Genomic DNA, 13,393 nt, shown 5'->3' with positions numbered 1-13,393 from the left:
AAAGAGATTGGTCACTGAAAGAACTCAAAGAAGTCCTGTGTGGCTGGAGTATAGCTGCGGGTTAGTGCTGGCAGGTGAAGACAGAGAAGCAAACCCAGGTCAGGTCCGGTTGGGCCTCGGGAGGGCCTCCGTGTGGAGTCTGCACTTCATTCTAAGTGTATACCTAACCCATCGCCACGATTTCCCCTCCTTCACACTACCCTGCTACGTCTCCTTATTAGGCGTAATAAAATTATGTGGCTTTGTAAGAAATTGGTTTTTAGAGATGCATGTTAAAGTATTGGGTATGAAATGTCATGATTTGTCTAATTTACTTTAAAATACTTCTGCCATAATAAATGAATAGAATTAACAACTTGATATTAGTTGACAATATCTAATAATATCTAAGTTATTAGAAATTAGTTAACAGTAACTTCTTTTTTTGAGACAGGGTCTCACTGTGTCACCCAGGCTGGAGTGCGGTGGTGAAATCTCGGCTCACTGCAGCCTCCACTTCCCGGGTTCAAGTGATTCTCCTGCCTCAGCCTCCCGAGTAACTGGGATTACAGGCGTGTGCCACATGCCTGGCTAATTTTCATATTTTTAGTAGAGATGAGGTTTCGCCTTGTTGGCCAGGCTGGTCTTGAACTCCTGACCTCAAGTAATCTGCCCGCCTCGGCCTCCCAAAGTGCTGGGATTACAGAAGTGAGCCACCATGCCCAGCCAACAGTAACTTCTTAATATCATCTAATAGCTAGTCCACATCCAGATTTCCCCAATTGTCCCAAATATATATATATATACACATATAGACAGGGTCTCACTCTGTCCCCCAGGCTACAATCATGGGTCATTGCAGCCTCCGACCTCCCGGGCTCAAGTGATCCTCAGCCTCAGCCTCCCAAGTAGCTGGGACTACAGGCACACACCACCACGCCTGGCTAATTCATGTTTTGTAAGGATGTGGTCTCACTATGTTGCCTGGGCCAGCCTCAAACTCCTGGGCTCAAGCCATCCCCCGACCTCGGGGTCCCAAAGTGTTGGGATTACAGGCGTGAGCCACCGCGCCTGGCTGGATTATATCTTTTTAATAATTTTAAATCTAGATGAAACCACCTTCCCTCTCCCACCCACTTCATCCCCTTCTTTTATCTTCATGATACCTTTCTGAAGAGTCTCAGCCAGTTGTTGTTTGAGATAGATGCTGCATCACATTCTCAATTTGTCTGAATGTATCCTCAGGGTGTCACTGATATTGTCACAGAGATTGGTCCTCTATCTGTGGTTCATCCTGCATGCTGGGAATTAGATCTAAAGGCTTGATTATATAAATATTCAGGGATACTTCCTAGGTGCTGCTCTGTACTTCGTTGTTTTTTGTTTTGTTTTGTTTTATTTGAGATGGAGTCTTGCTCTGTCACCCAGACTGGAGTGCAGTGGCACGATCTTGGCTCACTGCAACCTCTGCCTCCCAGGTTCAAGTGATTCTCTTGCCTCAGCCTCCTGAGTAGCTGAGACTACAGGCATATGCCACCACTCCCAGCTGATTTTTGTATTTTTAGTAGAGACGGGGTTTCACCATGTTGGCCAGGCTGGTCTCAAACTCCTGACCTCAGGTGATCTGCCTGCCTCGGCCTCCCAAAGTGCTGGGATTACAGGGATAAGCCACTACGCCTGGCCACTGCTCTGTACTTTGAATTGCATCATATCAGGAGGCACCCAATATCTCATTGTCCCACTTTATTGGGAGCTGAAACTGATCAAGACAGGGGCTGTGGCAGCCAGACCTCTGCATTAGAAAACATATGGTTCATACCTTGTGAACACCAAATAATCTATGGAGTAATTTCTTTGTTGTTCTCTTGTTTAAATAAAGGTATAATTTACATATAGTAAAATTTACCCCTTTCAGACTGCAATATTTGACAAACACATAGTCATGTAACTGCCACCCCAATGAAGAGATAACACACATTGAAGCATTATTCCCAAGATGTGGAAACAACCAACCGATACATGGATTTTTTAAAATGTGATATATAATAGGCTGGGCATGGTGGCTCATGCATGTAATCTCAGCCCTTTGGGAGGCCAAGACAGGAGGACTGCTTGAGCCCACGAGTTCAAGACCAGCCTGGTCAACATAGGGAGATTCCATCTCTATATAAGAAAAGAATTAGCATAGTGGTATGCATCTGTAGTCCCAGCTACTCCAGAGGCTGTGGTTGGAGGACTGCTTGAGCCTGGGAGTCAGAGGCTACAGTGAACTGTGATCATGCTGCTGCACTCTAGCCTGGATGACAGAGTGAAACCTTATCCCCATCCCTGCCCCCCTAAAAAAAATGTGGTATATGATGGAATATTATTCAGCCTTTAAAAAAAGGAAATACTGCCACATGCAACAACATGGGTAACCTCGAAGACATTGCACTAAATAAGTTGGTCACAGAAGGACAAATACTTAGGCTGGACACAGTGGCTCACGCTTATAATCCCGACACTTTGGGAGGCCAAGGCGGGTGGATCACGAGGTCAGGAGATCGAGATCATCCTGGCCAACATGGTGAAACCCCGTCTCTAATAAAAATACAAAAATTATCCAGGTGTGGTGGCGGGCACCTGTAGTCCCAGCTACTTGGGAGGCTGAGGCAGGAGAATTGCTTGCACCCAGGAGGCAGAGGTTGCAGTGAGCTGAGATCGTGCCACTGCACTCCAGCCTGGCAACAGAGCGAGACTCTGTCTCATAAAACAAACAAGCAAAAAAACCCCAGAAAGACAAATACTTCATGGTTCCACTTATATCAGGTACCTAAACAGTTAAACACACAGAAGCAGCAAGTAGAATGGTGGTTGCCAGGAGCTGCCGGGAAGGAGGAAATGGGTAGTTGCTATTCAATGAATATAAAGTTTTGGGTTTTTGGCCAGGCGCAGTGGCTGATGCCTGAAATCCCAACACTATGGGAGGCCGAGGGGGGAGTGAATCACTTGAGGCCAGGAGTTCAAGACCAGCCTGGCCAACATGGTGAAACCCCGTCTTTACTAAAAATACGAAAGTTCGCTTTGAGATCCTGTCTCAAAAGAAAATAAAGTTTTAGGTTTTTATTGTTGTTTTTGAGACAGGTCTCACTCTGTTGCCCAGGCTAGAGAACGATGGTGCAATCTCGGCTCACTGCAGCCTCGACCTCCCAGTAGCTGGGATTACAGGTGGGGGCCACCATGCCTAATTTTTTGTATTTTTAGTAGAGACAGGGTTTTACCACGTTGCCAAGACTAGTCTCAAACTCCTGACCTCAAGCGATCCACCTGCCTTGGCCTCCCAGAGTATTGGGATTACAGGCGTGAGCCACCGTGTCCAGCCTCAAAGTGATTTTCTAATTGTCATTCTTAATATATTTGATAGAATCCATCTGTCAAGTATAGCTTTACCTCATTGACCAGGGCTATTTGGTTATCCTGACTAAAAAGACAGGATAACCTCTTTTTTATTTTTTTTGAGACAGGATCTCACTCTGTCACTCAAGGCTGGAGTGCAGTGGTATGATCATGGTTCACTGCAACCTCGAACTCCTGAGCTCAGGTGATCCTCCAACGTCAGCCTCCTGAGTAGCTGGGACAATGGTGCATACCACCACACCTAATTTTTGTATTTTTTTGTAGAGATGGGGTTTTGCCATGTTGCCAAGGATAGTCTCCTTGTGATTTTTTTATCACTTTGTTTATTCCCAGTTTTCATTTTTGCTTCTTCTTGCCCAACTGTGGCTGGTGGAGCATTTTTTAGAATACCAGTTTGACTTATCTATAGTTTTATTTTTAATTGACAAATAATAATTGTATAAATTTATGGAGTACAGTGTGATGTTTTGTTACATGCATATATTGTGGAATGATCAAATCGGCTGGGCACGGTGGCTCATGCCTGTAATCCCAGCACTGTGGGAGGCCGAGGCAGACGGATCACCTGAGGTCAGAAGTTTAAAACCAGCCTGGCCAACATAGTGAAACCCAGTCTCTACAAAAAATACAAAAAATTAGCCAGGGGTGGTGGTGCATGCCTGTAGTCCCAGCTACTACAGAGGCTGAGGCAGGAGAATCACTTGAACTCGGGAGGCGGAGGTTGCAGTGAGCCAAGATCACGCCACTGCACTCCAGCCTAGGCAACAGAGTGAGACTCTGTCTCAAGAAAACAAAAAACACAAAAAAAGATCAAATCAGGCTAATTAGGATATCCATTACCTCAAATATTTATTTCTTTGTGATGAGAACATTTAAAACCCTCTTTTAGCTATTTTGAAGTATACATCATTATTAACTGGTCACCACGCTGGGCAATAAATCACCAGAATGTACTCCTCCTAACTGGAACTTTGTACCTTTTGACCGGTGTCTCCCCTTTTCCCCACAACCCACCCTCTCTCTCCTCCAGCCTCTGCTAACCACCATTCTACTGTCGACTTCTATGAATTTAACTTTTTTTTTTTGAGACAGGGTCTCACTGTCACCCAGGCTGGAGTGCAGGGGCACTATCATGGTTCACTGCAGCCTTGACCGCCCTGGCTCAAGCAATCCTCCCACCTCAACCTCCCAAGTGCTGGAACCACAGGCATGTGCCACTGCACCCGGCTAATTTTTTTACTTTTTGTAGAGACAGGTTTGCCATGTTGCCCAGCCTGGTCTCGAACTCCTGGGCTTAAGTGATCCTCCCACCTTGGCTTCCCAAAGTGCTGGGATTACAGGCGTGAGCCACTGCCCCAGGCCCTTTTTTCAACTCCAGGCATAAGTGAGGTGACGAGGTATTTGTCTCTCTGTGCCTGGCTTATTTCACTTAGCATCATGTCGTCTAGGTTCATCCAAGTCACAAATGACAGAACCTTCTGCTTTTTAAGGGCTGAAAAATATTCCAATGTGTGTATATATACATTTTTTTTTTTTTTTTTTTTTTTTTTTTGAGACAGGGTCTCAGCTCTGTTATCCAGGCTGGAGTGCAGAGGTATGATCACAGCTCACTGCAGCCTCAAACCCCTGGGCTCAAGCGATTGATCCTCCTGCCTCAGCCTTCTGAGTAGCTGAGACTATAAGCACGCACCACCATGATCGGCTAATTTTTTATTTTTTTGGAGAAACTGAGTCTCCCTGTGTTGCTCAGGCCAGTTGCAAGGTCTAAAGCAATTGTCCCACCTCCCAAAGTGCTGGGATTACAGGCATGGGCCACTGCACCTGGCCTTTAGTGATTATTTTTTTGAATACTTTTTCCATTCCACTCTCTTCCTCCTTACCTTCTGAGACCCTAATCATGAATGTTAGCACTTTTGTATAGTTCTACAGATCTGTGATGATCAGTTTTGTGTAACCTGACTGGGCCATGGGGTCCAGATTCCAGGAATTTCTCTCTGTGGAGCCTCAGGTCCTGAGGATCCCAGCCAGGCTAGGGTGCCTTCTCTCCATCGCTCGGAGTCTTTTTGTTTGTTTTATATGTAACATCCAGGGTTGTTAACTGTACTTAGTGGGAGGAATAGGGAAAACACCTACTTCATTTTTTCAGAAGCAGAAGTCAGGAGTGGAGTCAGTAAGTATCTCTTTTGATGTTCAAATTGTCCCATCTTTGGCCAGTGGAACAAGCCATTATTCTTCGATAGGTTCCTTAAGATACTCCAGGCGAGTCCTCCTTGTACCCTCCATGTGCCAACCCTGGCATCAGCCTTTTCTACAAGGAGCCCTGGCTGGTCTGGGCCAGTCCTGGAAGCCCATCTGCCTTAGTCTTCTCGAGCTGCTATAACAATGCCACAGACTAGTGGCTTACACCATAGAGATTTCTTTCTCACAGTTCTGGAGGCTGGGAAGTTCAAGATCAAGGTGCCAGCAGACGCAGTTCCTGTTGACAGCCCTCTTTCTGGCCTTGTAGACAGCCACCTCGTGTGCGCACATGGCCCTCATCTGGTGTGCATGTGTGGACAGAGGCTTCAGCATATGAATTCTGGAGGAACATGAACATTCAGTCCATAACACCGTTCCTCTTGCCAATGACTGGTTCAGGCATGGTCACTTCTCTCTTCCTAAAGATGATGGCAGTGGCTGGGCGCAGTGGCTTACGCCTGTAATCCCAGCACTTTGGGAGGGCAAGGTGGGTGGATCACCTGAGGTCAGGAGTTCGAGACCAGCCTGACCAACATGGAGAAACCTCATCTCTACTGAAAAAAAAAAAAAAAAACAAAATTAGCCGGGAGTAGTGGGGCATGCCTGTAATCCCACCTACTCGGGCAGCTGAGGCAGAAGAATTGCTTGAACCCAGGAGGCAGAGGTTGTGGTGAGCCAAGATCACGCCACTGTACCATCTCAAAATAAATAAATAACAAGATGGCAGTGAAACCTGGGCAAGAGGAGCGAAACTCCGTCTCTAAATAAATAAATAAATAAATAGAAGATGGCAGTGAAACAAGGGCAATCTCCTTTCTGTACAAGGGGCATTTGGCTTTGGGGCCACCAACGTGCTGCTAGCCTGAGGACATGGCCAGGGGGCAAAGACAGCAGAGCCAAGAGCATCCCAGATCTGGGAGCTAGAACCCTGATTTTCTTCTCACCAGACAAGCAGATGCATTTTGGTCCTCAGTTGGCCTTACCTATGACCTCCCTCAATCAGCAATTGAGAAAAGAAAATGAGTGATGGACCAAGAAGGCCTGTATGTCACTTGTGTTTCTCTCACAAAAACCCTTGATCTGAACCCAAACAGAACCCCCTGCACACATTCCTTTATACTTCTGTTTATTTTTCCTGCTTATGAAAACAGCCAACAATTGCCTTTCAAGGGAAGGGAAGGTAATGCTGGGAAAGGTCCTCAGGAGCCCTGAGCCAAGTTCTCAAGAGAGAAGTGAGGCAGCTGGGGATCTGGGAGGCCAGAGTCCGGGCCAGGGCCTCAGCATCCTAGAACCAGGGCTGCCTCCCGAAGAGCAGTTCAGAGGGCGTGACTCCATACGGGCAGGGCGGCTCCACACAGGCCTGGAACACCCTTCTCCTCAGCCCAGGGAGCTCATCAGGGTCTGGGCCTGCTTCAGTTCTGCAGAGGGAAGAGGTGGGCAGGTGGGAGGCAGTCAGGCGGATCTGGGAGAGCCTCTCACCCGTCGAGGAATAGCTGAGCCTCACCTGCCAGGAGGACCTGGAACTTGTCTGCTGAGAGGGACATGGCAACAGGCTGGGCTGGGGTCCCTGGGGCAGCTGCCACCTCCAGCCGCAGGTGCACCATGGGCTCTTCCACGGATTGCAGCAGGCTGGAGCTCAGGGTGTAGTCCACCCGCCAGCCCACACCTGCCAACCTATTCACTGTGAGATGGGGTGGGTGGCTCTCAGGATCAAAGCAGGCAAGCCAAGTAGACCTCAGCCGACACCCTGGCTCAGCTCTCAACCATTCAAGGCTATGTGGCCTCTAAGAAGCTCCCATCCTGCTGACCCAGGCTCAGAACAGGGCAGGTGCCCGATAATCAGTTCTGATCACCCACAGCAGACCTCAGTGACAAGAAACCTTGTGGGGAGTCAGGAGACCCAGGGCCAGGTCCCAGCTCTACGGCTGCTAGTAACCATGTGACCGTGGTTAAGTCGTCTCCCTGGACTCTCCATGCACTTTGTGTGCTGCGTGCACCTTCTAGAATGAGCCCGGACCCTGGCTGGCCTCATACTTACTGCGTAGGCTGCAGACCCGCAAGTGCTTCTGCAAGGGGCTTTGCTTCTCCTCATAACAGCGGCACAGGCTGGCCGCGTGCTCTGGGGGTAGAATGGAGTAGCTCTGGAGGTAGCATGTCGGGGCCTGGCTTGGGCTCCTGGCCCAGACAGGGCAGGTACACCTCAGGGTCACAGGGCCTGTCCCCTTCTCTAGCAGCCCTTGGCCCACAGGCTGCCCAGCTGCCCACCCACAACCCGTACCTTTGGGCAGCCCCAGCTGCTGCAGTTCACTGGACAAGGATTCGCCATCGACACTGTGCTTGGCCGCACTGGAGAGGATGAAACTCAGCACTGCCACTGTGGCCTTCACATCGCCTGACTCTGAGGGACCCGTGGGTGGGGCAGGGGGTGTCACTGTGGGTCCAGCCACCTCCCTGTTGCCCTATTAACTTTAGCTCAAAGCCCCCAGGCCTCCTGGAGCCACAGGCACTGCTACTGCTCCACCAGGAGCTGGCAGAGGACAGGAAGGTGGGACTGTCGGTCTTTCTTTCCCTCATGCTCCTCCACTAGGGAAGGTAAGTTAAGGATGCTGCTGGGAGGGGTGGGGGGCCCCTCTGTACCAGGCACCAGGCCAAGTTCCCAGGGTTGCCTGGGGCCTATAGACTCAGCGGGATACTCACCAAACTTGGCGTCAGCCGTGAGCTTCAGGATCTTCTCATACTATGGGGAAAGGAGACCTTCAGGGGGTGCCAGGCCCCTGCTCACCAGCCCCTCACCCCCAGCCTGGATCCTGCGATAAGGAACAGACAGGCTGGAAAGAAGGAAGGGAGGTGCCCAGAGAGGTTGAGAGGCTGGCTCACCCGTCTCCCTGGGCCTAGTGCAGAGTTTCAGGGCAGTGGTGGTCATAAGGTCATGGGACAATGGGGTGCTGGATCTTGTACTCACATCAATCCCCTGTCCCAGCAGCTCCTTTAGTACCTGGCTGCAGAGCAGCCGCAACTTCACAGAGGACTGGAAGGGAAGTCCTTACATCAGCCAGGCTGGCAAACCTCACCCCTCCTTCCTGGGGACTGGCTCAGAGCAGGCCAGCCACTGATCAAGGTCACAAAGCATGGTAGCACAGGCTGAGAGCACTGAGGCCCTAGCCCCAGAGAAACCTCACCATCCTCTACACCCACAATCCCCACCCCCAACACCCCTCCTCCACCCAGACTAGACCCTGTGCACTCAACCATCTTGGCCAGCGTGCTGATTTCTGCCAGGACCCAGTCGGGACAGTCCAGATCACCACAGAACCGGAACCTCTGCAAGGGAGGGAGGCAGGTAATCAGGCTGGAGGGAGGCCTGAGGTGTGGCCAGGATCCGTGTGTCTCCCACACTGCTGCCCACCAGGGACCCCTGGTCCCCGACATAGATGGATACCCTCTGGCCTCTTGTTCTCCCCTATCACCAGGCTGTTGAGTAAACTCTCTCCCTGACCCACCCTGCCACCAAACCCTGCTCTGAGGTCTACTCCAGGCATTCATCTGCTCAGCAAACATCAATTAAGCACCTTCTCTGTGCTAGCTCCCACTCTAAGTGCTGGGGGTACAGCATGGGATAAAACAAAGTCCTGGGCCTCACAGAGACGAGTGAACTCTCTCCCCTCTTCCCCATACCCACACAACTCCAGCCACTCCAGCTTCCCTGCTGCTGCTGGGGCACACCAGCCTTGCTCCCGCCTCCATGCCTGCTGCACTCTCTGTGTGGCTTGCTATCCTTTTTTTTTTTTTTTTGAGACAGTTTCACTCTTGTTCCCCAGGCTGGAGTGCAATGGCGCGACCTCGGCTCACTGCAACCTCCGCTTCCCAGGTTCAAGTGATTCTCCTGCCTCAGCCTCCCAAGTAGCTGGGATTACAGGCATGTGCCACCACACTCGGCTAATTTTGTATTTTTAGTAGAGACAGAGTTTCACTATGTTAGCCAGGCTGGTCTTGAACTCCTGACCTCAAGTGATCCGTCCCCCTCAGCCTCCCAAAGTGCTGGGATTACAGGCGTGAGCCACGGCGCCTGGCCAGTGGCTTGCTATCCTTTAAGTGACACATCAGACCAGCCCTTCTTTTTTTAAAAAATAAAAAAATAAGACAGAGTCTCCCTCTGTTGCCCAGGCTGGAGTGCCATGGCCATGCTGGTCTCGAACTCCTGACCTCAGGTGATCCACCCTCTTCACTCTCCCAAAGTGCTAGGATTACAGGCATGAGCCACCGCACCCAGCCAGAACAGCCTTTCTTGATTATACTTCTTAAAATAGCCCCTCACACAAGGAAATTATGGAGGCCAGTGGATACGTTCATTATCTTGATTGTGGTGATCCAAGAGCCAGGAAGATTTGTTCTCTACTTGTCCAGCCTCATCTTTCCCTAACCTGCAGATGATACTCTCCCAGCTATGGGAAATGCATCCATTCCTGGGGAGCCATACTCTCTCTAACCTGAAGTCTCTGCACATGCTGTTCCCTGTCTGAAGACACACGTCTCCCACCCTTGCCTCCCTACCCCTGGTACACAAACTGTACTTCAGCCAGCCAGCTCCTGCCATCCATCCGCCTTTAAGTTTGATGGCATCCTTAGGAAGCCCCCTTAGCACTACACACAAGGCGCAGTTAGGTCTCTGCCCCTGGAGCCTTAGCTATGACTCCAATTCAAGCCTCCGATTTCCCCTTCCCTTGGCAGCTCAAGTCCTCCCAGTGCCTAGCACACTTCATGGTATAGACCAGGCGCTTAGAACGTACGGATGGATGGATTGGATGGATGGATGGATAAGTCTCAACCCCAAAACTACTACTTTCTGGCTCTGGAAAGAGCGGAGGGGCTTCCTAACAGTGTGGAAGAGTGAGCCTGATTCTAAGCACCTTCTTGTACAAGCCCCACGGCAGGGCTGGGGAAGGGGGTATCCTTGGGAGGTCCTCTTGGGGATGGGGAAGACCTGAAAGGACTCCCAGCTCCAGACAAGCCCTAGTTCCTGCCCCGGGAGGCAGGGGCCCTTCCTTCCGCCAGGGAAGCACCGGGACTCTAAGCCGGCCGGCCTGCTCTGTCTTACCCGCCCCGTACCCCCGCCCCCGTCTCGGGAGCGGGAGAGTGGTGGACTTTTCCCTACCAGACTCACAGCCCTCACGCCCGCACACACTGTGTTTGCGGAGAGGCCAGTACAACCTCCCCCAGTTTCCGGAGCCACTTGGCGCCCCCTCATTCCCGCTCCAGCAGCCCAAGCCTCGCTTCGCCCCTAGTGCCTCACCATCGCGCCAAGAAGCCAGGGCCCGGGAATTTCTTTTTCCGGTCCCGCAGGGTCAGCTGAGTCGACGATCACGTGACTTGGACTAACTGCCTCTGGGAGGGCGGGGCCTGCTCGAGTGAGGCCGGGAGCGGACCGCAGCCCGCTGGAGGTGCAGGGGGCGAAATGCTGGCGTCTCCTCCTCCGTCTCCCAGAATCCTTCCCTGGAAAAAACTGGCGCCAACCGCCAGTTTAACTGAGGACCGAATTAAGACATTAGGAAAGACAGTGGAAGTTATTTCATTTGTTTAACTTAAGGGGGTAGGATCCCGGGAGCCAGGGTGTTTCAGGTCATTGACACGTTTTCCACTGTTAAGCGAATAGCATTATTCACAGCTGCGGGCTGTGGCAAAAGACATTTTAAAAACTATTGACGTCTACTACACATACAGAAAATTGTACCTATTATAAAGCTTAATAAGTTTTCATCAACTGTACACCTCACATAACCAGCACCCAGGTAAGGAAATAAACCAGATAACTTCTTCAAGTGCATGGGTATTTTATTTCATTTTGATGAATCATCTAGGTGCCTAGCAAAAAGGGCTGTCATAATTACTTGCTCAGGAAAACTCCCTACAGCTTCAACATCAATAGATGCTTATCTTAATTTTTGCCAGTCTGATGGGGAAGAAAAATCGGTTGCTTAGGTTGCAGTGGTAGTCTGATTACTGGTAGCTCTGAGCTAATGGGTAGTCTAGAACAACTAAGTTTCCGACATTGACTTGAAGAGGCAAAAACAAAAAGACAAAACAACAAGAAAAATACATTTGAGAATAGACTAATAACCAGAGACAAAATTGAATACAGTCGTCCTTTGGTAACCTCAGGATGTTGGTTCCAGGACCCCAGAGATACCAAAATTCACAGATACTCAAGTCCCTGATATAATATGGCATAGTATTTGCAAATAACCTGTGCACATCCTTCCGTATACTTTAAATCATCTCTAGATTACTATAATACCTAATACAACGTAAATGCTTTGTAAATAGCTGTTATAAAGTTTTTTAATTTTTTTTTTTGAGACGGAGTCTTGCTCTGTTGCCCAGGCTGGAGTGCAGTGGCGCGATCTCCACTCGCTGCCAGCTCTGCCACCCGGGTTCACGCCATTCTCCTGCCTCAGCCTCCCGAGTAGCTGGGACTACAGGCGCCCGCCACTGCACCCGACCTGTGTTTTTTTATTGTTTTACTTTTTCCAAATATTTTCGATGCACAGTTGGTTAAATCCAAGGATCCAGAACCTCAGGATACAGAGGGCTGACTGTAGTTTGAGCTCTCTCCTCAATTCCATGCCTATCCCATGCAACAGGTGCAGCTGGTTTTATTGTTGCAGGCTTTCAGGTTTTTAAAAGACAGAGCCCATGACAATTAAACTGCACTATAAAATAGAAATGTAAAGTGTCCCCAATTCATGGTAAAATTGAGCTCATTTCTGAAGAGTTCTTTTACAAATCATAACCACTAGCCTGTTGAAAACAACAGTACGTTAAGTTACTAGACTATCCTAAACCATGTCAAAAAAATTTTTTAAGAATGTTAAGACCTTTAATCATAGCACTTTGGTAGGCCAAGGCCGGTGGATCGCTTGAGCCCAGGAGTTCTAGACCAGCTTGTGCAACATAGGGAGACCCCAGTCTCTACAAAAAATTACCCGCTTGTCCTGGTGCACACGTGTTGTCCCAGCTACCTAAGAGGCTGAGGTCAGAGGATCTCTTGAGCCTGGGAGGTGGAGGCTGCAGTGAACCATGATGGCACCACTGTACTCCATCCATCCTGAGCAACAGAAGGAGACCATCTCAGAAAAATAAAATAAAATAAAAATAAATAAATAAATAAATAAATAAATAAATAAAGGCTGGGCACGGTGGCTCATGCCTGTAATCCTAGCACTTTGGGAGGCCGAGGCAGGCAGATCACCTGAGGTCAGGAGTTCGAGAGCGGTGGCCTGGCTAACATGGCAAAACCTGTCTCTACTGAAAAAAAACAAAAAAAATTAGCAGGGTGTGGTAGTGGGTGCCTGTAATCCCAGCCAGTCAGGAGGCTGAGGCATGAGAATCGCTTGAACGCGGGAGGTGGAGGCTGCAGTGAGCCGAGATTGCACCGCTGCATTTCAGTCAGCTTGGGCAACAGTGTGAGACTCCGTCTCAAAAAAAAAAAAAAAAAAAAGATGATTTGACTATTTAGAGCCGTGGTTCTCACACATTAGAGTGCATCATCATCACCTGCAGGGCTTGTGAAACCGGCTGCTGGGCCTCACACCAGAGTTTCTAACTCAATAGGACTGAGGTGGGGCCTGAGCATTGCGTGTCTATATTCCCAGGTGACATTTGAGACCATGCTTTGAAAACCACTAGTGTAGGGAAATATACTACAGAATATGTTATGAATATTCTTGAGAATATGTATATATGTTAACTTAGGGTTTCTGTCCAGTGGAAAAGATAACACCCA

General features: G+C 49.4%; 1 protein-coding gene across 17 annotated transcripts, besides 3 other annotated features; it reads right to left on the bottom strand.

Annotated features, from left to right (window-relative positions):
- Positions 156-205: an enhancer, noted in NCBI's record as "active region_9849". NCBI's record gives its function as "activates an Ori minimal core promoter by ATAC-STARR-seq in GM12878 lymphoblastoid cells {active_cell/tissue: GM12878}" and the evidence as "EXISTENCE:reporter gene assay evidence [ECO:0000049][PMID:35858748]".
- COMMD4 (COMM domain containing 4) lies at positions 3,769-10,933 on the bottom strand. 17 transcript variants are annotated; one of them, NR_104312.2, is made up of 9 exons: positions 10,904-10,933; positions 8,863-8,934; positions 8,576-8,641; positions 8,311-8,350; positions 7,892-8,011; positions 7,652-7,732; positions 7,118-7,294; positions 6,776-7,031; positions 3,769-6,167 (listed from the first exon to the last, which is right to left on the bottom strand). NR_104312.2 is itself a non-coding variant. In XM_011521739.3 (8 exons), exons 1-8 carry the CDS (start codon positions 10,856-10,858, stop codon positions 6,991-6,993), a joined length of 690 nt encoding a protein of 229 aa, XP_011520041.1. In that variant the 5' UTR covers positions 10,859-10,933; the 3' UTR covers positions 6,723-6,990. The 17 variants fall into 17 exon arrangements, 15 of the variants coding, with proteins under 15 accessions (XP_011520041.1, XP_005254566.1, NP_001308773.1 ...); NR_104313.2 differs by lacking the exon at positions 3,769-6,167 and having other exon boundaries at positions 6,723-7,031; positions 7,892-7,959; XM_011521739.3 differs by lacking the exon at positions 3,769-6,167 and having other exon boundaries at positions 6,723-7,031; positions 10,766-10,933.
- Positions 10,540-10,709: an enhancer, noted in NCBI's record as "active region_9848". NCBI's record gives its function as "activates an Ori minimal core promoter by ATAC-STARR-seq in GM12878 lymphoblastoid cells {active_cell/tissue: GM12878}" and the evidence as "EXISTENCE:reporter gene assay evidence [ECO:0000049][PMID:35858748]".
- Positions 11,050-11,099: an enhancer, noted in NCBI's record as "active region_9847". NCBI's record gives its function as "activates an Ori minimal core promoter by ATAC-STARR-seq in GM12878 lymphoblastoid cells {active_cell/tissue: GM12878}" and the evidence as "EXISTENCE:reporter gene assay evidence [ECO:0000049][PMID:35858748]".

This window comes from Homo sapiens, chromosome 15, assembly GCF_000001405.40.
Source record: "Homo sapiens chromosome 15, GRCh38.p14 Primary Assembly".
Lineage (NCBI taxonomy): Eukaryota > Metazoa > Chordata > Mammalia > Primates > Hominidae > Homo > Homo sapiens.
Note: the sequence above shows the minus strand (reverse complement) of the source record. Positions and strands in the feature narration are given on the sequence as shown.

Bases quoted from the DNA above. Each gene is read 5' to 3' on its own strand.
- COMMD4 (XM_011521739.3), bottom strand. From the start codon at position 10,858: ATGAGGGGGCGCCAAGTGGCTCCGGAAACTGGGGGAGGTTGTACTGGC. The intron at 7,733-7,891 runs GTACGGGTTGTG...TTCTACCCCCAG, and splicing joins GCAGCTGGGGCTGCCCAAAG to AGCACGCGGCCAGCCTGTGC. The intron at 7,295-7,651 runs GTAAGTATGAGG...CCCATCTCACAG, and splicing joins GCGGGTCTGCAGCCTACGCA to TGAATAGGTTGGCAGGTGTG.